This window comes from Homo sapiens, chromosome 13 (genome assembly GCF_000001405.40).
Source record: "Homo sapiens chromosome 13, GRCh38.p14 Primary Assembly".
NCBI classification, from domain to species: Eukaryota; Metazoa; Chordata; class Mammalia; order Primates; family Hominidae; genus Homo; species Homo sapiens.
The window spans coordinates 110,272,534-110,300,480 of record NC_000013.11 but is presented as its reverse complement, the minus strand read 5'-3'; the positions used below and the strand labels follow the sequence as shown (position 1 = coordinate 110,300,480).

The window sequence follows — 27,947 nt, the reverse complement described above, 5'->3', positions numbered from 1 at the left end:
TATTAAGTTTCTGCTTTAGAAAACAAGGATATTCCTTTGTGAAGAACAAAACCCAGTGTGTTCCAGCTGTAATTCAATGTTTTGAAAGCTATTTCCACAAACTTTTCCCAGCAGCCACACTCATCCCTAGAGATGATCCACATTCAGAAGAAAATGACAGATGATGCACGTTCAGAGGAGAATACTATGTGTCTTCATTGCACAAAGATAAACCTTGCCTAATCCTCACATTCAGCACATGGGGCATTTTTGAAGGTACTAGGTCAGTATTTGTTCTCTGTTTCAGCGTTGTACAGATAAACTCAATGATAACCATTTTGGTATTGTTTCCTTCATATTTATTAAATAAACAATATTAATATCTAATCTAATTGGTGGAAGATTTGGCTATTACATCTCTAATAATGCTTTATTTATATGTATATTACTATGTAATATAAAACAATCAAAATTTATTTTCAGATCCGCAGTTCCCTTGTGTGCAAGTAATGCCTGATTTCTGAGCACAGTGGCATTTATTTTCATATCATCCAAGAGCACCAGCTTTGAAATGTCATTTTAAAATATAAGCAACTCTTTTTTATCATTAGCTTGAATTTTTGAGTTGCATTTTAGAGTTTTTTAAAGAATGCAATGCCATTTTAATGTTACAGAATTAATACTGAGTTGTGTGTGACGTATTTGCTACCACCAGACTAAGGACCCTACGATTAGTCTGGCAAAAGAAAAGTCTGTTTCTCAAAGAAGCTGGCATTAACGGGTCAGACGTGCACACGACTTTTTGGAAAGGCGATGGCAACGTCTCAACTACATCCAGAGAGGAGACAGTCCAGGGACACACTGGTTGTGCACCAGTCACAGGCCCTGCAGGGAAATGTGTGGGCCCTGGTCTTCCTCATGTGTATGATGGGGATGAGGGCAGTTGCTTTCCTTAGGGAGCAAATGTAAGGATTAAGTGAGTTAATGTCTGTGAAGCATTTATACCGAGCTTGCTTTGTGCCAGGCACTACTCTGTTAAATTAAAGACAAATTCAGAAGCATAAACAGCAAAGTAATGACATCAAGACCCCTTGGGGCTGGAAGGGCCCACACAAGGATCTCCTTCAGCCGTTGTCCAACATGAGCTCACAGCAGCATCAGCTGGAGGGCTCCACGAAACAGCTCCAGAGCTTCTGTTTTTGGAGGTGTGGGGTATGCCGAGAATCTGCATTTCTAGCAGGTGAGGGTGCGGCTACTGACAGCCCGACTTCTTTCACTGAGGCCGCCGCTTGAGCAGCCTTAGGTGCAGGCCTGCAGTGTCGGGACGTTAGTTTGCACTCACTTTGAGGCTGAACCCCTGCGTGTAACATGGCCCTCCCCGTTCTCTTTGTCTTCTTTTTCCGTTGATTTCTGCTCCTGCCCGCAATCCCGGTTCCAGCTGTGTGGTGCAGTTTGGAAGGTCAGATGGGCGGGGGAGGAAGGTTCCAGAAACATGCATGTGGCGTGTCAGGAAGTGGAGGCTCCTGAGTGGATCTGGAGAGGGCTGGGCTGATGGTAAATGAGCACAGCGGTGCCTGGAGCAGACTCTGCCCTCCGTGGCTTTCTCCCCTCTTCGGGAGCCTGGCGTGGGTGTCTCAGAACTGATCTGCTTTCAGTCTGAGTTTTGCCATCCTCTGCGGCGAGCCTGCGAGCTTGCACACTTGGGCAGGATGCGCTCAGCGCCCTAGCTCAGAGGCCGACCCAGGGCAGAGCCAGTCAGCGGGCGCTGGGACGCAGGACTCTGAACATGGGTCCTCTGCCTCCCTCCCACCTCCTCCAGGCCCGGCCACTCGGCTTCCTGGTGAGGAATTCTTAACGACCGCCAAATCCGGTTTCTAGAGATAAAAGACGGTTGAAGGTTAGTGGTTTAAAATAACTCCTAAATTTTGGTCCGGAAATGGCCTATACAATGAAGATAAACTTACCAAAGCAGGAAAATGGGTCAGTGATGGGGGAAAATACCATCCACGGAATGGTTAGTTCAGCCTCAGCATCCGATTTATTTCGGACACATACACAAACCCGGTCCAGAATCAATAATATTAACTGGAAAAGGGGATGACACGGTTTTTATTACGTAGGATATGTAGTGGGCGATCTTCTTGAAAGATTTCTCATTCCTAGCTTATCTTTAACAAACATGTTTTTCATGTAAACATTATGCTAGCGCCAGATGCTTTTTATCAATTGTTAAAGCCTGTCTAGTCTGACTAAATAGCCATTGGGCGCCTCCATAATAATTAGATTTTGTTTTCCCAAATACTTGAAAATAATAAGATTGTATTTCTTCAGGAATTTAGGCTTTTAAAACTTTTTTTAAAAAATTCTATAATTCATACTTCTTTATTATTTCATGTTGATCATAGATATTTTCTCTTTTTTCCATGGAGGTTATCATCAATTAATATATTATGATATATGGATTTTTTTTTCTCTTGACTAGATCATTTATTTAAAACATAAATAACTTTGGGTATTGTCCTAGGCGAGAAGCCAATTTGTAACCAAAGGCCCATTTCTCTCTCTCTTTTTTTTTTTTACATCAGCGAAAGTAAAACAAGAGTAAGAATTCACATGAAAACAAAGTAGGAAGTAATAGTTTGATAGCTCAGTATCTTGCTTTTGGCCTTTAAAATTTGTTCAGTAAGTGTGTGTTCAGCGCTTACTCTGAATTAGGAAATATGCAGGTGGTTGGAATTGTTCTTATACTTTGCATTCGGACATGTGCCTGAGTTAAAGTGAGAATAATTTTGGTAATGGTATGATAGATGTTACGTTGAAAATTTAGCACTTGCACTGTTCTCTTCTGGCTCCAAATCTTTTCATTTAAGTTCTGAGACTGCAAAAGGCATCAGTTTCAGACTCTGGAGTCAGATGAGATGGATTTGAATTCCTGATGACAGTTTTAGTGATGGATTTTAATAATAAAATTAATAAAAATAAATTTATTTGCCCAAACAGCAACTAGCTGTTTGACTTTGGGCAACCTTCTTAACTTCTTTGTGCCTCAGTTTCCCCATCTATCCATGAGGGATAATAACGTATTCCTTTATTGTGTTGTGAAGGTCGCAGACACGATACTGGTAAATGAGTGACTGCCATATCATAAGATTTCATGCTGTGAAGTAGATCTTTGGTCTTCCTCTTGTTTCCTGGCATACAATTCCTGAAATTCTTGGAATCCGAAGTGATAAGTGTCTTTGTATGTTAATGAGTTGACTGGTGGCTGGCCCCCCCACCCCGCAGCTTCAGAGTTAGGCTGGTCCCTGGGAAAGACCAAGGCAGGCTAAAGGATGGATTCAGCCCCACTCACAACCTCTGGGGAGAGGGGCCGTGTAGGAGGTTGAGTTAATTACCAATAGCCAATGATTTAATCAATCATGCCCTTATATAAGGAGGCTTCCATGAAATCCCAAAAAGACGGGCTTGAGGAGCTTCAGGATGGCTGAAGATGTGGAGCTGTTCCTAGAAGGTGGCATGCCCTGGTAGGGCTGGAAGCCCTGCCCCTTCCCCTACACCTTGCTCTGTGCCTCTCTTCCATGTTCTGGGTATTCATCTGTATCCTTTGTAATACAGTAGCCTTTATAATAAATCAGTAAACATAAGGGTTTCCCTGAGTTCTGTGAGCCTTCCTAGCAGGTTAATCAAACCCCAGGAGGGGTTCATGGAAATTCCAATTTATAACCAATGGACAGAAGAATAGGTGACAATTTATTCCTGGCAATGGGGTCTGAAGTGGGGCAATCTTGTGGGACTGAGCCTTCATCTGTGGGAGCTGATGCTGTCTTCAGATAGATGGAATCAGAATTGAGTGGAATTAAAGGAAGCCTAGCTGGTCTCCCCTGAAGAAATGATTGCTTGCTTGGTATGTGGGGAAACCTCCCACACAGCCGGTGTCAGAAGCTTGTTGTGAGAGCAGAGGAAAAACTGTTGTGCCTCTTTGTATCTTCAGATGAGCATTCATAAAATGTTAGCTTTTACTATTGATTTCGTGATTATACTATCGATATTCGTATGTACTTAAAACTATGAAGTATCTTTCTTTTACTACGACTTTATTTCTTATAAGAGATCAGCTTCTTGGATAATTTACAAAATATTGGGATTATAATGATATTCAAACAATCGAATACATCTTGAGTGCATAATTCTTGAGGGCACAATTCTATCCCTAATGTATTCCAAGATGGAGCCCTTGGCTTTGAGGTATAACAATTATGAGATGAACAAAAGCAAATTGAAACAAGGCACGTTGCCGTGGTTTCGCGTAGGTGGTGGCAGAATCTCCGTAGCTTCACTTCTCATGAGATCCATCATAGCCACTCAGAGAGGAGACTGTCATAGATTTCTTCCTGTAAGCGATTTATGGGAAGGTCCTAGTTTAATAGGGCAGAGTGCAAAATGGGAATCACTTTTGAGAACTTTCTCTGGTCTCTTAATCAAGTGGGAGAGGCGCAGGGCTGAAGTTAGCCAGCACTGCACATCTGAGTTTTGGCTTGAGCACAGTGGAGACAGCTGCCCACAGCAGCTCACTCCCCGCTAGAAAGCGCACCTGTCTCCCCGGAGAGCTGGAGCTGACTTTGGAGGGGTTGCATCTCTGGCTGCCTCAGCCTGACATTTTCCATGGTAGAAAATGTCTCTGGGGCTCCAGAGGTGGGGCTTCCAGCCATGTAAATATTTGCATGTAAATATTTTAGAATTCAGCATAGGTTGAGGTCAGAAAGCCATTTACCGTGAGGCTGGGTGCGGTGGCTCATGCCTGTAATCCCAGCACTTTAAGAGGACGAGGCGGGTGGATCACCTGAGGTCAGGAGTTCGAGACCAGCCTGACCAATGTGGTGAAACCTTGTCTCTACTAAAAATACAAAAATTGGCTAGGCGTGGTGGCGGGCGCCTGTAATCCCAGCTACTTGGGAGGCTGAGGCAGGAGAATCGCTTGAATGGGGGAGGTGGAGGTTGCAATGAGCTGAGATAGTGCCATTGCACTTCAGCCTGGGCAACAAGAGCAACACTTTGTCAAAAAAAAAAAAAAAAAAAAAAGGAAGTGAACTACAAGAATATTTTGTCGTTGGCTGTTGTTTAATGGGACATTCAAAAGCTTTAATTGAATTCAAAAAGGAGTTATTTAAGATTTGGACTTAAAATCAGCCCATTCCTTTATTGTGTCTCTGTACAAACTCCGTCTCAAAAAAAAAAAAAAAAAAGAAAGAAAGAAAACCATGTAGTGTGAGAGCCTAAGAGAAAAATCTGAACATGCTGGCAGATTGAGGATGTTTATCCATTAAAGAGTCTAAAAGTGGGATCTTCACATACAACTTCATAAAGTCTTCTGAGCTCTGTACATGTCTTAAGGAAATGAGTCTGATTTGTACATTTTTACATTAAAATGATTATTTCTAGGACATTATGGCTTTTGTATATTAAGTGTGCTCAATGAACAGAACTGTAATCTAACTTCACAAAATTAGATTTTAAATACATATAAACATATGTACACATATACACTACATAAGTAGACCATGTGTGCATTTCCTATAAAATGAATGATATTCATTCATTCATGTAAGAAATATTTATTGTACACCCACTATGTGCCAGGCACTATTCTAGACTTGGAGACAAACAGAAAAGAATTGCTGCCCTCAGCATTTATTTATGGGATGAATACAGAGAAGCAAACAATTTCTGCCTTTTATCATGCTGAACTAGAAATTATTTAAAAGGATATCCCTCTCTGCTATTTTAGGGATGGTTCAACCTCCCAAATTCAACTTTGTTAAAATAGTTGTAAGGAAGAGACTGGAGTCCTTTATAGGAAATTGTGTCTACTTTGTGTCTCAGAAGTACATTCATGAGACTAACAGACATTGAGTTGTTCCAATTTTTGGAAATTTTGAAATATCTCTCCAGTAGGAAATGGGTTTGCAGAGCTCTTCTCTCTTCCCTGGGAATTAAGTACAGCTAGCCATGGGAAATACCACTTGGGTTTAGAGTGGATGAAACCATCAGATGTGGAAATACCAGATGGAGGAATGGGAGGGAGGCTGTGGACAGCAAATGTGTTTCTCCAGTGTGCAAGATTTCTTGGCACTTTGATGAGGATGTTGTGTGTCACAACTGTAATGATGCAAGAATATTGTCCTTTGTCTTAAAATTGTGTTGCTCTTTGGCCATGTCAGCCGGACCCTGTGTGAAGGGGCTGGAGGCAGGCAGAGAAAAGAGATGCTCTTGTAATCATCAGGGACACACCTCAGACCTCTAGTTCCACAGGACCCGAGTGGTCGTGCTACCATCTCTGCACAATGGCAACCCTCAGGGACAGACTGTCACAATGTATGGCAGCACCAAGAAATTGGGGGCTCGTCTCCTCCAGCTCAGCGCCTACTCAAACCTGGAGGAGTTCTGGTCACAATGAGCACTTGAGCCTTTTCTGAGAGTCAAAATTAAAATCTGGTTCCAAGGACCAAGGCTTACCAGGTTTCCTGGGCAAAAGAAACCTAATTTGTGAGTTAGGGATAAATGAATCAGAAACATGAAAACTATTGCTGTGAGAACACTCAGAGGCTTAAACAAGGAAACGCAGGTCAAAGTTCTTGGCAAAATATGTTGGCGAATTGTCCTGGACAATTGGCAGTGCATGTCCCACATTATCCTGCAACAGTGACACGCTGTTAATAAGGGAAAGGGTATAATGTGAAAAGCTCTGATGAAGTGTGCTAGGTTACAGAGCCTTTTTGGTGGAAAATAATTCTAGAAATGGTCCTTAATTTGATTCCTTAATTGGCAATTGTCTTCTTAAAGTGTCAGAGTGAGGAAGATCAGCTGGTGTTTCCAGTATGTTCAAACAGCATGTTCGAAAGTGCAGGCCTGAGTTTGGGTTGCTGTATCTGAGCCTATCTGCCATCTCTGAGCAGAGTCAATTGCCATCTCAAGTCAGATGATTGGCAGTAACTTCTAGAAGATAATGTCAAATTTTTAATACAACTTTTTCTAGTTCTATATGATGTGCACTTGTGCCATTTGAGAAACTGTAGCATTAACTTGAAAGCTATAGTTGGCAAAGCGAAGTAATTAGGTTGAGTTTCTTATCATTCATAGCCTTCTAGGTAGACGCAGCAGCCGCTACCTCTACAACATTTTACTGACTCTTCCCTGGGTCAGAGCAATGCCACAGGTGCGAGCCCCCAGCTTTGGCAGCCTGCAGACGTCCAGAAACACTTCTCTAGGTGCCACAGTCCTACACACCTTTGGTCATGTTTGCCTAAGCTTTGGGACTTTGCTAATTTGCATGGGAGGGCTAAACCTCCAGCCCCCAACGGTGGCACTGGGGAGTAGACTAAGTGTTCCTGCACGGTGACCTTGAATGGAATCCAGCATTTATCACTAGTTGAAAGAGAGTGACTGCACTTTTAGGGGGTGCTCTGGGTAAGTTGTGTAGGTGGGAATTGAGATTTTTTAAAAATAACAGCCAATTTATTTTCCCACAATTCTAGAATCTACTTATGAATTTGAGGCGTGATATCTTTGGCTGTTAAGTGACACAGATTACCTGGCAGTTGCCTTTGTATGCTAGTGAGAACCCTGGACATATCCTGTTTCTCCTGACCCTTTACATAGAGATAATTGACTTGATGACCCATTGATCCCATCTGCCTACCTGCCAGTCATCATCCTTTGAGTTCCTGTCCCTCCCTACATGTTGAGGGAGGGACCTGGTGGGAGATGATTAGATTATGGGGGCAGTTTCCCCCATGCTGTTCTCATGATAGTGAGTGAGTTCTCATGAGATTTGATGGTTTTAAAAATTGTGCTTTCTCCTTCGCTCTCTCTCCTGCTACCATGTAAGACATGCCTTGCCTCCCCTTTGCCTTCCACCATGATTGTAAGTTTCCTGAGGTCTTCCAGCTATGTAGAACTGTCAGTTAATTAAATCTCCTTACTTTATAAATTACCCAGTCTCAAGGAGTATCTTTATAGCAGTTATAGCAGTGTGAGAATGGACTAACAAAAATAACCACCTCCAGATTGGAAATATATGAAAAGTTGAGAGTCAAGAAACTATAGTCCAGTCTAGACCACAGCATGGCCTCTTTTGGGGGGCCCGTGAACCCCTTGAGATGATATGCAAATTTTTATGAATCTGTGCACAAGTGCATTTTTAAGAAGACAATGCCTGGAACTTTTATCACATTCTCAGAGATGTATGCCACAGACTGCTGGTCTAGAGGGCCTTGGTAGCAGATTTTTATAGTAAGAACTGTCAAAAAGATTTTCCAGGGAAGAAGACCCTGAATTTGGCAGTAGATAAGAATAGAGCTAAATTTGACAATGCTTCCAAAGCTTTGGCTCTCAGCGGCAGGCAGGATGCAGGCACTTCTGAGGGTGGTGGGAAAATCGGTCGGAAAGACAGTTTTGGCGAATGTTAATCTTATTGTTTGTATCAAATGTTTGGCATGAATCTCTCGAAAGACATGTGTGCAGACCCCATCTTCTCAGCTGCATTTTGGTTTCTTTCTCCATGCCCCTCCAGGGATGGCACAGTATCTGAGCATCGCCATGTAGAATCTATGCTCAGTAAGTGTGTCTCTTGATTGACTAATTGGTTGTCAAGGTCATGCTAGAAAATGGAAATTTGAAGGTGAATCTAGATTGGTTCATCTGCAGATGGTGGAACTGGCGATTATGATCCCTCTAGGAACCCAGCTCAGAGCTCTTGAAGAGGGAGACAAGAAGTAAATAACCCACTAAAGAAGCCGGGTCTGGTCACAGGAGAGGTGTTTCTGTGAACACTTTTATGAAAAGGTGCGATGTACTTGGGGGCAGTCAGGGCTCTGCACAATTAGTGAAGGCCATTGCATTTTCAGCACTTGACATGGGGTGGGTGATAAGGAAACTGACAAGTCTAGTCCCTGCCACGTGGCCAGCCTCGCAGGGCTGAGAAGGCGATGGGAGAGGGCTGACTTGTGGTCTGATTTGCCCAGGCCAGCGAGGTCCATGCTGTGACCTGGGTGAAATTACTAATGGCGCTCCCGTGCACCCCTAGCACATCCCGACATGGAAGATGAGTTCTGTGGACAGCCAGCTGTGAGGAGATGGCATGGTTAAAGCTCCCTCGCCATTGCCTCCTAGTTGCAGAAAAATATGGCAGATTCTTGGTTGCTGAGAAATGCTGAAGAAATGAAAAGACAAGATCAAGAGTTTAGATGAATTTAGTGCAAAACGTGAAGATGATCAAAGAGACAAGTGGGTGGCTAATGTGATGCCAGGCTACTTGGCATCGGTGTACTTTTTCTAGACACCAGGTCCTCGACACACCTTAAGGTCAGGAGGGGAAGCCCCAGTGTTCTCGGACAGGTGAGGTGGGAGCTGCAAGTGTCCTGAGGAGAGGGGCGGGCAGGACACTCACGTCTGTGCACGTGATTCAGGTCAGGACAGCCCCCCACCCGCCCTGTGAGCACCTCTGTGCTGGTCCAAGTGCAAAGAGGCCCACCCCTGGGGGACGTGCAATCGCCCTTGGCTTCTGCCACTGCACGGCGACCCCCCTGCCGAGTTTCACTGGCCACTGAAGGCAAAGAGAGTAGCAGAGTGCCCAGCGTCACCGGCAGGATAGACCCAAAAGTGACACCCACGTTTTAAAAAGTGGGCTGGTCCAAATGCAGTGATATTGACAGATCATTGATCACAACCAGTTATAGATTTCTTTGTTCCTTTTCCAGTCCCCACTTGCTCTCGTGCACCCAAGCTTCACTTGCTAAGCTTTAAAATGTAAAACAAAATAAAAACTAAAATAAAAGTGGGGTGGAGAGTGGGTCTGGTGGAGGTGTGGACAGGGATGATGAGCTGGAGGTGACTCCAGGGTGAGTGCCCAGAGATTTTGGTCACCTGGGGTGGTTGATGAGTAGTTTGCGAGTGAAGCTAGAGTCCAAAGGGAAGGAAGGATCGAGGAAGCCGGAGGAGCCTGTGGAAGGAATGCTATGGGTTTGTAACCTTTTAAGGGAATCTTGAGTGTAGTGTAAGCATGGTGGTCATTAGATGTACTGATTAAGAGGGTAAATCATAAAAGAAATTATGACTTGGACATAAAATTTAAACAGTGCAAGGACATGTTAATGATAAAACGAATGCTGCACAGATTGTGTTCCCTCTGGGGAGTCTGGAAATCAAAATCCCAGAAGCCGCCTGCCGAGCGCTTGTTAGCTTGCAACGCGCTCACGTGTGTCTGTGTAGCTTAGTGTGTTCGCACTTGTTGTCTAACCAGGAAAATGAACTTTAAAAGGCCTTCAACTAGGCTTTAATTAAGAGGAAAAGATGACAAAACCTACACAGCAGCATGTCAAAATTACCGAACATGAAACAGGACTCTTCTGTTTAGAATAGCACCGAGTCACCTTTGGAAGGAGTGACGCCCCTGCGAGGGTGCTGTGCCCCCCGGCAGCATCCTTTCAGCCAACCCTTCCCTTCACGCCCCTTTTCAGAAGCAGACCCTCTATTTTTACTTCCCAGGGGCCTTAAAACCCACCTGCTTGTCCTCCATGAGGATGTGGGTGAAGCGCTGACCCTCATTCCGTCTCTGGGATCTGTCCACTGGGGGCAGAACATGTTTCTGTTGGAAGACAGAGGAAGAAGCGGTGGTCCGTGCCAGCCACCTTGAGGAGCAGCCTGGGATCCGGAGCATCTCATGTTCCATTTCTTCTTGAGTTTTCCATGCATCAGGAACCTGAGATGTTGGTATTTAGCCCTGAAGGTGGCTGTGGGTATTCTCTATGCGCTTTTGGACTTTAACCCAAAATACAGATAGCGTAATTTGCAGTGTAACGTCTAACATGTTGAACTCTTTACATATTCTGTGAAGGACGAACCTGCAAGGGCACCGACTTGGAGTATCTCATCCGTTGTCTTGGGTGAGGAAACACTGACAACTGACCAAGAAATCGGTGAACTCAAGGCCTGCAAAGAGCTTCCTGAGAAGGTAGACAGGAATAGTAACAGGGCTGCCTGGAGCAGTGGGGGATGGGCAGGGGGTCAGGGTGGGTGCGCAGGGCCTTGTCCCCTCACAGGAACGAGTTGATTGCAAGGTGATGAGGAGCCAGAGATGCTGGAGAAGAGGGAAGCTGTTCTTTTGCCTTGGGAAGGGTCTCCTCTTGGTCGCGGCAGTGGATGGCACCCCGGCCTGGATCGTGCTAGAGCTGGAACTCATCACTCCAGCCCTCTACCTCCAGGCTTAGGTGCGGGGCCATTCAGACCCTGTTCTTTGAGATCAAAATCCCCTCTTCCATCCAGGAGAACTTAGGAATCCAGCACTCGCCAAAATGAGGAGATCTGGAATGGAAGCCATTGCTCTCCCCAGATACTCACTGACCTTAGTCCACTCTGTCCTCTCCTCTCCACTGAAGGGCTAGGCCTGTGACACGCATCTTTTTTTTTTGAGATGGGGTCTTGTTCTGTAGCCCAGGCTGGAGTGCAGTGGCACGATCTTGGCTCACTGCAACCTCCGCCTCCTGGGTCCCAGTTCAAGCAATTCTCCTGCCTCCACCTCCTGAGTAGCTGGGATTACAGGCGTGCGCCACCACACCCAGCTAATTTTTGTATTTTTAGTAGAGATAGGGTTTCACCATGTTGGCCAGGCTGGTCTGGAACTCCTGACCTCGTGATCTGCCCACCTCAGCCTCCCAAAGTGCTGGGATTACAGGCGTGAGCCACCGCGCCTGGCCTGACACCCATCATTTACAGGTAGCTCCCGAGGCTTGAGGCATTTCAACAACCTGTCCAGGGTTTTACACAAGGACATGGGAGGGATAAGAATGGAAAATCAGTCTGTTATGCTCAAATTGTCAGGGTTAATCAGTGTTCATTATTTCATTTCAAATGACATACATTTTTGTGATTTTTGATTTTTGTCTGTGCAAAGAAAATACATATACTAAATAAAAATAGATATAGTGAAGTGGGAACAATTCTGTCAGTTGCTCTACCCTGTGGTTAGATAATCCTTAAAATAGACATTTTGGTTGCAAGAGACAAAATTATGCTGATCTCCTGAGCCATGGATTTTTCTATAGTGGCAATAGGAGTCTCTCTTTTCACATTTTGCTATTTTACCAGCAAGATCAAAGCTGAGTTTCAAGGCTCATAGTAGCAGCGATTCAAGGCTGCGCTCAGGCTTAATTATTATTATTATTATTATTATTTTTTTTTTTTTTGAGAGGGAGTTTCGCTCTTGTTTCAGGCTGGAGTGCAATGGCACGATCTCGGCTCACTGCAACCTCTGCCTCCCGTGTTCAAGTTATTCTCCTGCCTTAGCCTCCCGAGTAACTGGGATTACAGGTGTCTGCCACCACTCCTGGGTAATTTTTTTTTTTTTTGTATTTTTAGTAGAGTTGGGGTTTCACCATGTTGGTCAGGCTGGTTTCAAACTCCTGACCTCGTGATCCACCTGCCTCAGCCTCCCAAAGTGCTGAGATTACAGGCGTGAGCCACCGCGCCCAGACCACTCAGGCTTCTTGAATTCACCAATTTCTTGGTCTGTTGTCAGCGTTTCCTCACCAAAGACAATTGATGAGATACTCCCTATTGGTGGCATTGCCACCACTTGAACGGCTCTCTTCTGAGTCTGAAAATAGTTTGTGCTTCCTGTGCTGCAGGTATTGTAGCGCCTGCATTAGCCCCTGAAAGGAAACGTTTCTCTTGGAAACACCAGTGTTGGGCTCTCATGTGCTTCCTCCTTGTATATAGATTGGAAGTGTGTGTGATTTTCAACTTCATGTCCTTGAGCCCCAGACAGCCGCCCAGGCAAGGCCATCCCACTGTACGGCGCTCAAGGACGTGCCGGCTTCTTTCTGGGTCTCACAGCAGGGTGAGCATTCTGCTCAAGTGACAGCTCATGATGCCCGGCCTTCTGACCTTTAGAGAAGAGTTCATCCGATACAATGAGAGCCCCAAATGTAAACTCACTTCATTTCATTCCATGTTCCAATGGAAAAACCGAGTCTTGGCTGTGGTGGTGCTTCTTGTTTAGAGAGGAACCGGGAACTTCACAAAGATAAGATATTAATAGGACTGGATCCTTTGTGGGCACGAAGTAGGGGAGTATTTAGATTTGCAGCTGTGTGCAGCCATTTAGACTAGATATCTGAGTGGCTGGCCTCGGGCTTTAGGGTGGGGACGGCAGGCTGTCTGGCTTGCCCCTGAGATGTCATGCGGCCTAAAGGAATTCTGTTACTATTGTTGAATGGCTGAATAAGAGCAAATGAGGGCGTTCCTTCCCTCTGACACATAGTGGGGAAAAGTGCGTCTCTGCATGTCCAGTGCCCTGTGGCTTGGCCTTGCAGCCCTCATGTCTACACCTGGGGTGCCCGGGGCCTCTCCTGCCTCTTCCTAGGTGGGTGGCCTCTGTGTGAAGAAAGACAAGACAAACAGCATCTCTGTGGGCCATTCTCCACCCTCAGCCTCAGGTTTTCCAAATGCCACTCCTGAATTTTCTGGAGTTTTGTGTCGTTTCCAAACTTGTTTCGAAGAAGAGCTTTGAACTAATGTAGCAGAATGCAAAGTGGAATTCTTCCCAGAAACGAATTCTGTTTAACTCTTTGGGTTTAGTGGAGGTGTCAAGTAGCTTGGGACACAGTCAGAAGCACACACTGTTTATCGTGTGGACTTGGGAAAAGTGAGCATTTGGGATCTTCTGCTGGTCTTGCCTGAGTCCAGGCATCCATGTAATGCAAGCTGCCTCTCTGCGAGGCCAGCAGGGCTGCAGAGCCGGGGCTCATGGTTTGTTCACCTTTGGGATCTGGGAATACAGCTTCAGCCAATCTCAGTGCCCCACGAAGTAACCCACCGCCTTTCTGGCACTCCGGGGTGCCTAGGATTTCTCTGTCCCTATAGGCGGCTCCTCTGTATCCCAGCTGGTGGTCTTACTGCCTCAGCCCCATTTTCCTGGGAACTGTTCCTCCTCTTCCAGGAATGGATTTCTTGGCATGATACTTCTGCCTCTCTCCCCCACACAATCTGAATGCCACACAAGGCTCTGGACCCTGAGGCTCCTGTCTGGGCCTGACCGGACAGCGGGCCCCTCCAGGCATGGCCATCTCTCCCTTTAGCCTGCTCAGCCCTCCTACTCTGCCTGCAGCCACCCTCAGGAGCTTCGAGTGTTCAGCACCCTCATGTGAATAAACCAGATGGTTATTGGCCTGGGTGTGATCCCAAGCCCCCATTTCCCCTCCAGTGTCAAGTGGCTGAGTCCCACTGGCTTCAGTGTACCCTGAATCTGCAGCTGCAGCCTTTGAGCCAATGCTGTCCTTGGTCGTTCTTGGTCTTGTCAGTATTGCCCCTCCATGGCAGTTTCTCCTTAGGGCATTCCCGTATCCAGTCCTTTCCCTCCTTCCAGGCCTCTCCAGACTCATAGCTCACTCATATCAGGGAGCCGATGTTGCACCTTTGCCCTCTGCACTATGAGAATCTGGGGCAAAAATTAAACGGGGTCCCATTTCCAGAGGGTCTAACCAAGGCTTTGGACAGGGGATGTGGTCATCGAGTAGTAGCTCTGAGTCAGTTTTCCCAGAGAAAAGGTACCAATACATCCAGATAGTTTATAGAGATATAAGGATTTATTATAAGGTCTTGACTCACACATGACCATGGGGGCTGAGAGGTCCCACAGTGTGCTGTCTACAAGCTGTGGAACTGGGAAAGCGATGGTATGGCCTGAAGTCCTGAGAACTGGGAGCACCAGGGGCAGGAGAAGGAAAATGTCAGGGAGCGCTAATACAACCTCCTTCTGCTTTTTGGTTTTGTTCAGGCTCTCAATGGCTTGAGTGAGACCAGCCTACTCTGGGGAGGATGGTTCTGCTTTACTCAGTGCACCAGTTCAAATGTTCATCTCATGCAGAAACACCTCACAGACCCACCCAGAAATACCGTTTCACCAGATATCTGGGCATCCCATGGCCCAGGCAAGGTGACACATAAAACTAACAATCACAGTAGCTTAGCTCAAGTGCTGATTTATTATGAGTGGTAGTATTTCCACTGCAGAAGACAGACGCTTACTAAGGGCTGCTGTTCCTAAATGTGTAAGGTACAAAGGCAGAGCCAAAACTCTGTATTCACGGATTCACGGAGACAGTCCCAGTGAGTGAGGCCCACAGGGTGAGGAAATATGCGTGGGATTCCGCAGCACACGTAAGAGCCCATCCTATTTCTTCACCATTGTAGATTCACGTTTTTGGAATGTGCATTTCCAATGGAAAATCGATGCTTCCTGGCTTCAACATTTTAATAAAAATACTTCTGGCTAGTGCCCTAGTCTTTCATTTTGAAAATAACTCATGTTAGAAAATTGATCTATTGGTTACATTTTAAACATGAAAAGATCCAAACACTGCTCAGAGTGTTCTTTCCCTGAAAGCCTCAGCCCAGACTGACGGCCATCCCCTGTGCTGCTGAGGGCATGTGCCTCGCTACAGAAAGGGCCATTGCCTTGTAATGGAATTATTCTGACATAGCCTTTAGACCACACCATCAGCTTTCCCAAGGGCAGGGACGGTGTCATCTCTAGGCTTATCTTCCTGGCCACAGCACATTGTCTGGCACTTGTCACTGTTCATTTCTCTTGGAGATGAAATAGGCAGAAAGTATTAGCTACAGTCAAGGGTTGCATCTTCTTTTCAGATGTTCAGGAGATGGTAATCTCCATCAGCATTTGCCTTACTGTTCTGATTAGGTGAATACTAAGCCCATTCGAGCCTCTCTTTTTCATATCATGAGGATGGAGCCATGTTTCTGCTCATTAAAAAGGCCTTTTACAAAAAGAAGACAGCTATGGGGAATATATTTTGCTTGCTCTATCTGTGTTAGGAAGTTAGTATTCATTAATCATGTGCTACTTCTCCATGTGTTTTGCACAAAAATCGGTGAAAAATGATGGCTTTCTACTTCTACATTCTTGAAGCGTGTGCATTAGATTTTTCTATTTCTTAAGGGACTGAAGGCTAATATTAGGATATCATGTTGACTTCTCAAGACGTTAAAACCAAAAGACCTCTGCAGCTTCCAAATCATGCTTACTGATTTCGGGATTATGCCTCCAGCCCCCAAAATCAACACCTATAATTTAAAAGCTGTGGGGGTCACATTAGTCAGATGTTAGAGAGATGCTTGTGGCTTGTGGGTTCCCAGATTCCAGAATTTGGGCTTTCCTCCCAGCTTAGCTCTGCTTGTGACAGATGTTTAAGTTAGAGAGACACTAAGAAAACTTCCAGGAGGAGAGGGGTGAAATTTAGCAGCCTCTTTTTAGATGATTCTACCTGGGGGAGCACATCCTGTCTGGGTGTGAAATTGAGAGCTGTGTGTTTCCACCTGCACCACAGCATCCAGGTGCACGCTCTGTGGGATCCCTGCCCGTTGGTGGCCTGACCTACAGACCCTTTGCTGAAGGACCCTTTGCTGAAGGCTCCTGGCCTGTGGCCATCACCGGACAGACCCTTTGCTGAAGGCTCCTGGCCTGTGGCCACCACTGTCATACAGCGCTGTTCCTTGGGCTGGAGGGAGAGCTTTTGCCACCTCATCTCCCATCCTGTCGACATGTGACAGCTTTGCCAGCCCAGCCACAGTGACTAAAGTCTTCAGGGTCATGAAAAATAACCCCCCAAATGCCACCCACTGCTGCTGTCCAAGCTCACCCCACCAGCATAAGGCCTGGCTTAGTATGGTGGGACCTGGGCATGGTGAGCCCCAGATGAGCTCACAGATGGCAGGCAGTCTTTGAGGGAAACTTTGATGTGCATGTGTGGGTGTGTGCATGAGTGTGAGAGCATGCACATGCCTGTGTGCATGTGCCTGAGTGTGCATTGTGTTCATATGTGTGCCTGTATGTGAGGGAGTGTATGCATGTGTCTGCATATGCAGATGTCTGTATACACAGAAAGGTGTGTGCAGGTGCACATGTGCGTGTGTGTGCGTGAGAGTGTGCGTGTGCCTATGGGGCGCCCAGACACCTTGGCCCTTCCCTTTGTATTCTTGCTGTTCTTAGTGAGTTTACATCATGGCTTGGGCACGGCTCACATTCTCATCTCCCTACATTAGTGACATCAACACATTTCACATTTGGCTTATTAGCCACTTCTATTCAATGTCAAAAAGCAAATGTATGATTTAAAAACTAGCTGCTGACATAAAATTTTCTAGTCTACATTATTCTTTATTTTCTTGAACCTCTCTTTTCCTGAAATCTCTGATTCGATGACTCGTCTTTTCTGAACATATTATATTATTTGATGACAGAGAGAATCAAGTAATTACTCTTCAGTCTCTGTCTTTCCTATGAAGAACTGAACATCCTTCAAACTGGGAACACTAAATAAAACATGGTAAGGAGAGAACTGAATCACAGGCAAGGCAAAGAGAGAGAAAGATACCATGCAATTGCTTAAAACTAACTGAAGCCTTTATGCTTGGAGGTGAGGCCCCAGGGCCTCAGGGGCACCTGGAAGCGACTGGGATCACTGGCTCATTTTGATTTTGAAATGTGGAGACATGCAGGAAGATTGGAGAGGGCAATGTTCCGATGGCCACGAAAGAACAAAATTGAATTCCAGAAATCACATATCAGTGAACTTAGCATGGACAATTATATTTCCAAATTGATTTTTTTTGACAGAAAGCTTGTGAATACTTAAATAAAGAGTTCATGATCCCTGGAAGCCAACACAGGTGCCCCAAAACAGGTCAGGAGAATCAGTAGGCACAGCAGGGATGCCATTCAGGGACATATACTTCAGGGTACAGACCCTGTGCTTGGAGAAGCCATGTCCCAGGGTAGGACACACAGTTATGTGAGAGCACTTCATCTCAATGACCTTGGCAGGGCCTCAAAATTCTCCCCAATTCAGAGCTCCTGCAGCCATCCTTGACTGGTAGGAATTGACACTTGAGTTGAAACCAGCTTGCCATTGCTAATCTAAAGGATGTGCATTGGAAGTGAGGACAGGGTGACTTGCGTGGATGCAGCCATGCCAGGGAAGGTACAGTAGGGATGAAGATGGCATTGAGGAGACACAATGAACAGCTTAGAATGCACAGCATGAGTAGGAAAGTGATAATACCTAAGAGTCACCACCAGCTTCCCTTGATGTGCCAGTACTCTACATGAGTCCCCCACAGTCTGCGCAATGACAGTGTGAGGTGGGTTGTCTTACTCCCATTTTATTGATGAGAAAACAAAAGGTCAAGGACTTTTCTCCACTAGTATTCAAACTCAGGTCTGTCTGAATCCAAGTTTACAATATTGACATTGATATGCCACCTCTCCAGCATTGGTAGGGAATTCTGACAAGGGGAGAGAGGTCAAATTGTAAAAGTTTTATACACTAGAAACTGGTGAGTAATTGGTGATTTGTGACCAAGGGTCTTTGCTGGGGAGAATCCTCTTAAGTAAGACTAGGTGGATAATGGTAAGCAGGCCCTAAGGTGAGGCGAGGACACGCAGCCAGGAAAACTGAAGGGAGCTGTTGTGTTTCAGGCATAAACTGATGGAGATCTGAGCAGGGAAGGTGGCCAGGGGAATGCGAAAGAAACTGTAGATGTCAGGGCCTTTTGCAGAAAACATCCACAGAACTGTGTGCCGACTCTCTGAAGGGCAGAGAAACAGATGGGTTGAGTAAGTTTACTAAAATGTGAGAGGGGAATTGATGTTCCTGCCAGATTGGTAAACGGCCATACCATTAGAAGAAGAGTCCCTTATTTTGTGAAAATTCATTGGCTGAGAGGTACTAATTATTTCAGATAGTGGAGGTAAAGTGGGTAAGACTTTACTCTTTGATCAAGGGTCTACCCAAATCTTGACTAGTCTTCTTAATTACTTAATTTATAGATTTTTGATGAAATTGAGTTTCTGTGTGAGCCCCCATAGTGGAAATCTAAGCTTCCTACTGTTTTTTTTAAACATTTTCTCTCTATATTGCAGCAGGTAACCACTTCCTCTTCTCTTTCCCTTCACTGCAGTTTGTGAATGATCTGGCTGTTTTTGGCTTATGGCACATCTGGGTTCTCCTTTGGTCCTTCTCAAGAATTAATTACTGTTCATAAAGTATTTTGAAATAATGTCAGAAAATGTCCTTCAAGGAGCACAGAGTACTTTTTGGAACATTAAAAAATTCTCAGTATTTCTGCTTCTCACGTTTTGTTTTGGGAAATAAGAATTCTGGCTGTAGGAGATGGCGGGGGGAGGTTAGTCTTCCCAGAGTCGTGTCATCACAGAACAGTGTTGCTCCTTACAGCTGTTATCCCAAGAGAAGAAAACGGGAGAGAGTGCCGGCCACGTTTTGTGGCTTACACAAGCCAGTTGATGGTGTCAAAGATGTTGTTGAGTTCTCTGGCCAAAGGATGTTCTGTTTTCTGAAAAAGTTTAGAGCTGCAGAATTGTTTTTATGCTCGAGTGGCTAAAAAAATGGGACACATGGTTGGGGTGAGGAGAAAAGCCATATTTTACTGATCCAAAGGAATTGGATCACTCCTGAAGCAAACAAAGTATAATACGGCGATCTAAGTAGATAGTTGCATATATTGAACACAAAGGCAGAGCATTAGAGTAAGAAACCTTCAGCCAGATCTCGGATGTATTTCATAACATGTGTTCGTTGAAAGAATATAAGAAAGGCTCTAGGTCTTGAAAAAAGAAAGAAAATTCTCCTTCACATTTATATTCATGTATTACTAGCAAGATTACAAGTTCTCAGAATAGCACCAAGATGAAAGAGGCTTACCAGAATTATTGAAAAGGGGATTTTTCGAGGCCACTTATAAAACCAACACACCAAATTTGGTGTTGCAGATGTAGGCGTGGGATTGTCCTCTGTCTTCAGAGGTGTAATACGTAAAGCCCATGCCATGCGGCGCTGCTAAGCCAAAGCAAACCATGATTTGTGAGCAAGAACTTGAAGATTCTATATAATTCATTTTTTGAATACTTTCTCTTGTAATACAAGCATAGAATTGTTTTCGTTTTCAATGGCATAATGGTGACTTTGTGATGTATTCATGAGAATTATGAAGTTTGGAATGTGACTTTTATTTTAAGATTTTGAGGGAACTCCTAAAGGCATTTCACTTTTGACCTTTATCTGAAACTTGTGGCTGACTATTGCTGGGTAATAGGCACCAAGTGTGCATTTTTGTTGTGTCTGAAAATCTGGATGTGCTGTTCGGCACAGATGGAGCAAACACGCAGCAAACTAAGGACCGTCAGTGGCTTCCCATTGGCTCATTGAACAAGTTAACACCACTGCAGTATTTTAGTTATTTTAAAAACTAACTTTAAAGAATCCCAAGTTCTTTATACGTGGCAAACTTCATCATTTGGTAATGGATTTAGAAATAAAAGTAAGCTCCAAATTAAAAGAAAATTGCCAATAGAAACAGAAAATATTCATAAGGAAGGGTAAGACAGGAAAGGAATATCAGGAAGGGAGAATCAAAGTGAATTCAGTAATGTGCAGACACTGGAGTTCACAGGACCTAAAGCAGGTGCAACGTGGACGCTCTCTGGAGGTGTCTGGCAGACCCAGGAGAAGACAGTGGCCACAGTAAGGAGGGCAGCCAGCCCTCTCGATGCAGGCCCACGGGAGACAGGCCAGCACTGCAGAAGGGACTCACTGAATAGTAGTGCCAAGAAAGTCAGTGTTGAGAATGAAAGAAAATACTGTGAAATGGGCACTGGTTAGAAAGTTGAACAACAACAGCAAAACTTAAAATATGAAGTCTTGGGGAGGGAAAAACTACCTGAAGCAAATCCTGTTAAACACTTCTGTGTGGCTGGTTTCTGATGCTAGGAGGTTTTCCCCTGCAAGAAAAGACACAAGTAATAAGAATTTGGCATATTTTGGTTTCCTCCTATAATCTATATGTGTGTGTGGTCCTCCAGCCCCCCAAAAGAATAGATTGAATGTGTCTAACACAGGTTCAGGATATGGGGAACTGAGCAAAAAAATACATTATATGGTTTGCACATTCAAGGAGCTTACAATCTTCCTGGAAACACTAGTCATTGAAATGATATCACAATGAAACCAACCTGAGCATTATGTACATGAGCTCAGAGAAGGAGCCCGTATTGTGGGGAGGAGCAGTACTGGGAAGCATCACTGAGAAGGGCCTCAGGTGTGGAACTGGACTCCAGAAAACCTCACCTTCCATGGGGAGCGATGATTATTGATATGTATGTGTCATAAGAAGCAAAAATAGATCAGATGTGCAGGGAGACATAGCTGGAAAAGGAAAGGGCGCTCCAGTGTATATGATAAAGATTGGTTAGGTAAGTGCCCCCCAAAAGTGCATGCAAAGCCAAGTAGGTAGAAACATAAAAAACAGTAGGACATTGAGAGCACCTGTGGCCGACTCGAAACACTTCATATGGAATTGGAAGACCCCGGGCAAAGCACTGAGTTGGGTTCCGCAGAGGAGCCAACCGTGACAGTGGGCAGATGAGATGAAGTTGGGCCTGAGGGTTTCATCATAGTCCTAGATTAAGGGAAGATATTTTACAGGAAAAAACATGATTTGTAGTTTGAGAAAAATGAAAAGGAGGTGTGGGACGCCTCTGAGCTGCTGAAACATCTAAGGTAGCATATATGTACCCAGCAATCCCACCCAACATTCCCACAGTCTAGGCAGATGGAGAAGGTGATCCTGTCAAGAGGCGTGGCTGGGAGAAGAGTGGCCATAGTTTGCAAGTCCAAAGAATACATAGAAAATAAAAGAGGAGGAAATGCCCATGAAGAAATCAGTTATGAAATCAATCAGGAGCATATTTGTTAAGCATTTACTATGTGTGGAAAATGGGTATCCTTGGGGAGGAAAGCCTTTTTAAAAAGGCTGTGAAGTCACTACATAGTACTTTGCAGATGTGTGTGTATATATGTGTATATATATATAATGATTAGAAGAATGAATGAATGGATGAATGAATGAGCACACCCAAAAGAAATGTCTAGGAAGTGCTTTCATAACCTCTCTAGTGAGTCCAGAGTATTGTATGAAATGCAATGCTTTCAAATTGTGGGAAAATACGCAGGTATTTCCAGAATCCAGGTCACAAAGACCAAAGAAGAATGATAAGGCTAGGAAGGCAGAATACATAAGATAGTGCAAAGGGAATAAAAATGTCAGATGGGCTCATAAAAATTCTGTGAATACATTGTGGAAAAAGCTAGGTGCAAAATAGCATTGGAAAGGAGGAGAAGAAAATATAAAACTCCTGTCAATGTAGGCAGTGTCTCCTTGAAACTCACTTCACCTTTTATGAGATTATCATTTATACCCATCTGCCACAATTCTAAGTGGCTCTATTGAAACTTACTAAGTTCTTCCGAGTTATTGGGAGAAAATATTATTCTAAATACGTTAACGTATGTACTTCTCAGTGAAGGGGGCTGGAAATAAGAAACTAGAGTTCCATTTGGGATCATTTTGAAAGGGGAGAAAAGGCTGGGGTAAATAGGAAAGAATTTTTTAGAAACTTTCATCAAAGGCAATAATGCTAGCATGGGTTACTTAATAATTATAAAAGATGATATGGGAATTAAGGGAAATGAAGCCAAGTGGAGATTGGGAAATCTGAAGAAAATGAAATTGCTTGTTTGAAGTGAGTGACCTTTAACTTACTCAACTTGCAAGACGTGGGTCAAAAGATAGAGGGAGGGGAGGACAAAATATGTCCAAGGGTCAGCTCTGCAAAGGATGGCCTGAGTCACCCAGAGTGAATCTGAAATGCCTGGTTCCAAGAGATTTCCATTTTATTTATGTTTACAGATTTAGGGGTTATGAGTGCAATTGTGTTACACGGACATACTGTGTGGTGGTGAGGTCTGGCTGGTGGATGCCCATCACCCGAACAGCAGTTCCGAGAGATTTGAGAGCAGAGTGCAGACCCTGGGAAGCTGGAGGTGGGTCCCACACACAGCTGAGGAAGAAAAGGGCCTTGTTGCCAGTACTCTGGCTACGAAGTTATCATAGTACCTTTGCAGGAGGGATTATTATATTAATTAGCTTAAAAACCTTGATAAAAAGATGTTCTGAAAAGATGACTCATCCTATCACAGGTTTCAGGCAAAGACAAATTGGGGAAAATAAAGAATGGCTTAGACAGAACATGTCAGCAGCCAGTTTTTAAATGACATGTTTGCCATGTGATATTTCACAGAAATGGCTACACAGAAATGAAATGTGTTAACATTGATGATACAGAAATATCCAATAAAAATAGCTTAAGAGAGTGCTTTTATGCCCTGGAATATAACTACAGAGGACCGTATTGATAAATTATATGGTAAGATTTATTGGGATGCAAATTTCAATCATTTAAGCTCGATTAACGTACTATACATTGGTTATCTAAACTGGAGTTCAAAAACCCAGATGTCTACTGAGGTCAGGCAGATAACTGGGAGCAGCCAGCTTTGTGAGAAAACGCACATCCCTGCAAAAGGATCCCAGTGGGTCCCTGCTTTTAAAGGTCTGGGAAGGAATCAGAAGCCTGGGGCCTCAATTTTAAAATATTCATTCAAAAACTTCTAGAATATGGTGCAGGCCAAACAGGGTACATCTGTGGCCCGAATCTGGCCTGCGGGTCACCAGTTTGCAATCTCTGTTCCAAAGTTAAGGCACCCGGTATCTTTATACTGCAGAGTTTTGAACTGTGTTGTATGGATTACGTAGCAGTCGTGGAATTAAAACTGGTCACAACAGCAGGAGAGCAGGTTCAAGGCCAGCATTTGTTCTGAGTGGCTGGTGTGGAGTACCACACTGAAAGTAGGGGTTTTTGAATGTTATTTTGCCTACAGTCAGAACATTTACATACTTAATGGAGTGCATAGAAATTGATACTGAGAAATTAATTATTGCCTGTAATATTTGGATTTAGTTTGTAGTAAATATCCTACAAAAATTTGGAACCCTCCCATGCAACCTGTATAAAAACGCTCCGGGTGTAGAGGAGCCTCAGCAGAGGAGATGGATTTGGCGGTACAACGAGAATCAGTCTTGAAGGCCAGGACGCATTCCCCAGGGGCCTAACAGGAGGCTCATGAACATCTGCAGTGATTTATTGAACCAGTGCTGGAAGGAAAATGACAAAATATTTGAGTCAACAATAAAACAATTATGCAGATGTTTTACGAAGCTCTGTTCCACTGTTTCGCAATCTGGGGTGGTACACATGCAGGTTTTTATTTTTTAATTGACTTGATTTTTAGAGCAAGTTTAGGTTCACAGCAAAATTGTACAGAAGGTACCAAGAGTTCCCACGTACCTCTTCTCGGGCACACGCATGGCCTCTCCCATGATCTCTACATCCCGCACCAGAGTGGGTCATTGGCTACAGTGCGTGAACCTGCACCGACACGTCACTATCCCCCGTCCATAGTTCATGCTGGGGTTCACTCTCGGTGCTGTACTTTGTATGCATTTGGACAAATAGATAATGACATCTATCCATCATTATAGTATAACATAGAGTTGTTTTACTGCCCACAAAATTCCTCCATCCTCTGCCTATTCATCCCTACCCCCTTACCTCTGACCCCTGGCAAACTATGGATCCTCTTGCTGTCTCCGTAGTTTTGCATTTTCCAGACTCTCTTATAGTTGTCTTATAGTTGGAATCGTATGGTATGTAGACTTTTCAGATTGGTTTCATTCCCTTAGTAATATGCATTTGAGGTTCCTCCATGTCTGTTCACGTCTTGATAGCTCATTTATTTTTAGTGTGAATATTCCATTGTCTGGATGTCCCACAGGTTGTTTGTTTGTTCACCTAGTGAAAGACGTGGTGGTTGCCCCCGAGCGTTGGCAGTTATGAATAAAGCTGCTGTAAACATCCATGTGCAGGGTTTCGTGTGGACATAAGTTTTCAGCTCATTTGGGTAAATAGCAAGGAGCATGATTGCTGGATTGTGTGGTGTGTTTGGTTTTATCAGAAACTGCCAAACTGCCTTCCCGAGTGGCTGCACCATCTTGTATCCCCACCCGCAATGACTGAGAATTTTTGTTGTTCCACACCCTCACCGGCACTTAGTATTGTCACTGTTCTGGGTTTCAGCCACTTTAATAGGTGTGTACTGGTATCTCATTGATTAAATTTGCATTTTCCCCATAACCTATGTGGAACGCATTTGCATATGGTTATTTTCAACCTGTTTATCTTCTTTAGTGAAGTGTCTGTTAAGGTCTTTGGCCCATTTTTTAATTGGGTTGTTTGTCTTTTTATTGTTGAGTTTAAGATGTCTTTGTATATTTTGGATAACAGTCCTCTATCAATCAAATATATCTTTTGCAAATATTTTCTGTGGCTTGTATTTCCATTCTCTTGAATGTCTTTCCCAGAGCAGAACATTTTGATGTTAATGAAGTCCAGCTTGTTAATTCTTTCTTTCATGGATCATGCCTTTGGTACTGTGTTTAAAATGTTTGGTCATCTTCCTTGGGGAATGAGCGGAAGGTGACGGCTGCGAGCAAGGATTTTTGGAAGAGAGAGAATGCATATTTTGCTTTTGCCTTTGAGGTGCTGCAACATTTAAGTAGAAAGTCCCTCAGTGCTGCCATCTGTTGCTGTGGCCACAGCTTCCCTCCTAGGGCCTGGCGTTGGCACAATCACTGCTTTATGGACATCAGTTCTCTGTTCTACATGACAGGGAGGTTCAATTAGTACATCCCTAAGCTCTTGCTACCTATACAATGTTATGATCTCATGAGCGGATACTGTGGCTATCAGTGCACAGCCAGGCCACTCTTGGTTTCTTTTCCTGACACTCCTCCCATTGCATTTCTGTCTAACAACGGTGACGAGGTTGGAGAGAGCTCCAGGGGTGGTGTGCCTGCCGCATCCTTTCACATATATTGTATATCATTTCAACTCAGCAGGATAGATGATGCTGACCCCACCTGACCAGGAGGAATTGAGAGGTGTAGGGAGTTAGTGACTTGCTCAAAGACACACCAAAGGCAAGGAATGCGGCCAGATCCAAGTTCAGACCAGCCTCCCGAGGGCTGTGTGCTTTGATTTGATCACCTGTTTCTCTTTGAATTATACGTGCATCAGATCAGAACATCTAATAACACTCATGGGAAAGGGGGCTTCCTAAAGGTGGAGTTACTGCAGGTATCCTGATGCCTGCTTTCCAACCTGCCTTGAATTTTCATTGACTTAAAGTTGAGCTACATACGACGTATTAGAGAAGAAAACCATGGACTTCTATCCCATTATAATAATTAGCTGATGATATTGTCATTATTCATACCACTGCTGTCTCCTCATTAGGTATTGTGTTCATTGGGAACAGGGCCTTAATATTTGCCCCTGTTTACCCCTAGTACTTAGCACATTTTATCTTTTATAGGCATTTAATAAATATTTATCAAAAATAAGCAAATGCACAATACAGTAGTAACGCTGTATTTTTAAATAAAAATTCATTTTTAATTTGATGAGGCCCTAGATCTTTTTGGTCTGTCTTCTGAAGTCAGGATTTTTGAAATGTAGTGAGAAAGGAAGGGAAATGGGATCATTTAGTGCTTTAAACTGCAGTGTAAGCACTCAGTGTGTCTCAGTTGTAATGCTCTTTTGGCAGATGCGCGTCTGCAACCCTGAACAAGTTTCAGCCTCACTTGACTGATTAGTTGCCCTCATTTAAAAGAGGAGCCACATCTGTGCAGCACTGATGGACACTGGGGTCAGTCTGAATGACCCTTCTAACCTCAGAATTAGAGGGTGAGTTTTCCAGACTTTATACCCATTCCCTGGTGCCTATGCTTTTGAAAGAAGAAAGAAGAAAAATTCTAGGTGTTTAGTTCTTTATTATTCAGTTGCCATAAACAATTTAAACCCCTTTTTTCCAACCAGACAGTTAACTGTAGGATCTGAGTTTGGAAACAGACTCTGTCCTAGGATCTGTGTGTTTAGGAGCGAGCTCGGCTGTCTGAAGACTTCTTCCCTGACTAGGTGAGATATATAGAGACGACACTGCTGGATGGAGTTGTCACAAGTGGAATGAGGTGATTTAGGTAAAAAAGCTTCTGCAAAATGCTGTGGATGGTGGTCTAAGATGCACTCAGCCACTAACAGAGCCTTTTTGACACAGGTAGGTCATTCCACTGATTCTCAAGACGAACCCATAATAGACCTTTAGGTCCTTCAAAATATACATCCCGCGTTAGCAGGGACCTTCTCCACTTTTCTCCATTTCGGTACCCACAACAGTGACCGACAGTTACAAGGGTTAAATGGACATTGCTGAATTCATGTGAGTGATTTGCCAGGCCCATAATGCCCCAAAGGCCCAGTAGGTAGTTGGATCTGAAAGCACTTGCTCTCTGAGACATGATCAGGCAGCCATTTACTGTCTAAAAACTCTCTGAAAATTTTAACCATGCTTATTTAAATTTTACCACACATGTGCACACACACCCCATTTATTTCCCTGGAAGGAAGGAGAAGGTGGAGGAGAACGTTCCCTTTGCTTTAGGATTCCCTTTGGGCATATCTGGCACAGAGGAGCGATGCCTGGGGTCCAGCATCCCTTATCAGTTTCCATGGGCACCTTATTGATGGTGACAGGTGAAGGGTCGGACGTTCTGACATCAGCCACATCATACTTCCATAGTAGAGGTGACATTCCAATGTGGCTTCCTTTTTACCTGCTCAGGGTGTAGCGAAAAGCAACTTCTGCCTTGTCTCACTGTTGACATCTTACCTTACTGTTGGCAAGAAAAGGATTAGGCAAATAGGAAGTGACTAGTGTTAGGTACTGGCCTTCCCGGCTTTCTTCTTCTTTTCATTTGTAGCGAAGTGTCACCATTGTGGAACATCCATGTGTGCAATGCTGAGAAGAGTTCCCCCCCTTTTCTTTTAGAGGGGACTTATGATGGAGGATGGAAGAAATGAGAAT

At 44.2% G+C, this 27,947-nt stretch overlaps 1 protein-coding gene across 2 annotated transcripts in view, besides 1 other annotated feature; it reads left to right on the top strand.

Annotated features, from left to right (window-relative positions):
- Positions 1-27,947, top strand: part of COL4A1 (collagen type IV alpha 1 chain) — a 158,195-nt gene that overhangs the window by 6,677 nt on the left and 123,571 nt on the right. The window lies entirely within an intron of this gene.
- Positions 16,560-17,060: an enhancer, noted in NCBI's record as "H3K4me1 hESC enhancer chr13:110935768-110936268 (GRCh37/hg19 assembly coordinates)". NCBI's record gives its function as "activates a minimal SCP1, AML or CMV promoter by ChIP-STARR-seq in primed H9 embryonic stem cells {active_cell/tissue: H9 hESC(primed)}" and the evidence as "EXISTENCE:reporter gene assay evidence [ECO:0000049][PMID:30033119]".